Source organism: Homo sapiens, chromosome 8 (assembly GCF_000001405.40).
Source record: "Homo sapiens chromosome 8, GRCh38.p14 Primary Assembly".
Taxonomy (NCBI): domain Eukaryota; kingdom Metazoa; phylum Chordata; class Mammalia; order Primates; family Hominidae; genus Homo; species Homo sapiens.
The window spans coordinates 76,939,261-76,942,463 of record NC_000008.11 but is presented as its reverse complement, the minus strand read 5'-3'; positions in this window follow the sequence as shown (position 1 = coordinate 76,942,463).

The following is a 3,203-nucleotide window of genomic DNA, read 5'->3' as shown; positions in this document are numbered from 1 at the left end:
ATTTAACATAGTACTGGAAGCCCTAGTCAAAGTAATTAGGCAAGAGCAAGAAATAGAAGACATACAAATTGTAAAGGTGGAAGTCAAATCGTCCCTGTTCATAGATGACATGATTTTATATAAAGAAAAACGTAAAGATCCATCAAAAACTCTTAGAACTGAAAAATGAATTAACTAAAGTCTCAGGATAGAAAATCAATGTACAAAAATTAGTAGTGTTTCTATACATCATTTATGAACTAGATGACAAAGAAAGCAAGGAAGAGATCTTATTTACAATAGCCCCCCCTCCACACACAAAAATACCTAAGAATAGATTTAGCCAAGGACTTGAAAGATCTCTGCAATGAAAATTACAAAACTTTGATGAAACAAGTTAGATACAAAAAAGGAAAGACATCTCATATTCATTGACTGTAAAAATTAATATTGTTAAAATTACCATAGTACCTAAAGTGATCTACAGATTCATTGCAATTTCTATCAAATTACCAATGGCATTCTTCACAGAAATAGGAAAACAATCCTAAAATTTGTATGACACCACAAAAGACCCTGAATAGCCAAAGAAATCCTAAGTAAACAAACAAACAAACAAAATCTGGAGGCATTACATTACCTGACCTCAAAATACACTACAGAGCTTATGTTAACTTAAACAGCATGGTACTGGCATAGAAACACACAAACAGACCAATGTGACAGAAGAGAGAGCCCAGACATAAGTTCACACATCTACAGGAAACTGATCTTCAACAAGCCTCCAAGAACATACATGGGGGAAAGAACACCCTTTTCAATAAATGGTGCTGGAAAAAATGGATAACAATATGCAGAAGAATGAAACTGGATCCCTGTTCTCTCACCTTACAGAAGAATCAACTCAAAATGGGTTAAATACCTAATTGAAAGACCTGAAACTATGAAACCACTGGAAGAAAGCATAGGAAAATGTCATGATTTGAATGTTTGCTTCTTCTGAAATCTCATGTCTAAACTTAATCCCTAATGTGGCAGTATGGAGAAGTGGGGCTTTTATGAGGTGATTGGGTCATGAGAGCTCTGCTCTCATAAATGCATTAATCCATGAATGGGTTAATGGATTAATAGGTTATCATGGGAGTAGGACTGATGTCTTTATACAAAGAGGAAGAGAGTCCTGAGCTAGCATGATCAGCCCCCTCACCATGTAATGCCCTGTACTGTCTCAGGACTCTACAGAGACCCCATCAGCAAGAAGGCTCTCACCATATGTGGCCCCTGGGCCTTGGACTTCTCAGCCTCCATAACTGTGAGAAATACATTCCTCCATTGTGTAAAGAATATGCAGAAAACATTTTCAAAATGCGTTAAAGTAGTATAGCTCAAAAAATAAATACAACCACTTTAAAAAACATAATAATGCTGATTTGTTATAAATTGATATTTATTTAATAGACACCTGTATAGTACTTACATTTTATTGTGCTAGGCTCTTGTCTTAGTGTTTTGAACATCATAATTCATTTAATTTTTATATCATAATCCCCATTTCACAGATGAGCAATCTGCAGCACAGAGTGTAAGTAACTTGCTCATCACACAAGTAATTTTCAAGCACCAGCTACTTTTTTTAAAAAGCTGAATGTTGCATTTATTAATAGGTTTTGTCTTAGAGATGTGAAATTTATTGAATATCTTACTGAGTATTAAGTAGCTGCTGTGGTCCAGGCACCTTGTTAGGTCCCAGGTATACAAAAATGAGCCAATTGTGGTCACTGCCTTTATGGAACTTGCTTAGAGGTGGGAGAGAGAGAGGAGTGAGCCAGCACTTTTAATACATCTAGCTAGGATGAAATGGGAGCACAGAAGAGCAACATATAAATCAGACTGGAGGGTCTCTGAGGGCTTCTTCAGGAAGATAATACTTTATGTATAATTTGAAATATAGTAGAAATGTAGCAATGGGAAAAAGGAAAAGGAAGAGAAATACTTTTCAGGGGAAAGAATTAACATATTTGTAGAGGTGATTATTAGCAAATTGGCCACATCCTAATTCGTAAGTATATATGGATTTTTCAAACCTTTTATTTTACATGGAAGAGCTAAATGCATTAGTTTCATCTTCAAAACTCAGGAATTGAAATTTAACTTATACATAAATGGAAATTTTTTCTGCAGTCTTATTTTTGTTTTTACATTTTTAAAAACACTTTTTGCACTGAGCTGAGATCGTGCCATTGCACTCCAGCCTGGGCGACAGAGTGAAACTCCATCTCAAACAAAACAAAACAAAGCAAAAAACTTCTATTTTAAGTTTAGGGCTATATGTGTAGGTTTGTTATATAAATAAGCTAGTGTCCTGGAGGTTTATTGTACATATTATTTCGTAAGCCAGGTATTAAGTCTGGTGCCTTTTAGTTATTTTTCCTGATCCTCTCCCTCCTCCCACCCTCCACTCTCCAATAGGCCCCAGTATGTGTTGTTCCCCTCTATGTGTCCATGTGTTCTCATCATTTAGTTCCCTCTTATAAGTGAGAACATGCAGTACTTGGTTTTCTGCTACTGCATTAGTTTGCTAAGCATAATGGGTCTAGCTCCATCCATGTTTCTGTGAAGGACATGATTTCGTTCTTTTTTATGGCTGCATAGTATTTCATGGTGTGTATCTACCACATTTTCTTTATCCAGTCTATCACTGATGGACATTTAGGTTGATTCCATGTCTTTGCTGACCGCTTTTAGAAAATGCATGTTGAATGTCTGTCAAGGTGAAAGATCGTTTAATTGCTCCTTCCATTTGTGTTGATTCCACCTGCTGAGTTAATGAAAATTTCATCTCCTTATCCTTTACTCGTTCTAGACCAGTGGGCCTCACATCAGAATCATATGGGGAACTTGAAAACCAACTGGGTCCTACCTCCAGAGACTCTTATTTAACTAGTAAATTTTGGGTATCAAACTTTTAGAAGCTCTTAGATAATACCCACAAGTAGCCCAAGGTTAAAAAGTATTGTCCTGATAAACAATGGAAGAATTCTGGCTCATAAACTTTCTTGTTCTTCCAAGGAATTCCATGGTTACTAGTGTTTTTGTATACGTGGCAGCAGAGCACATAGTTTAAAGTCTGGTACATACTATGCAATCAAACTTTATTGAATAAGGCTTTCTAAATGCACATCCATATGCACATACAAATATCTACTTTCAAAAATTAAAAATTG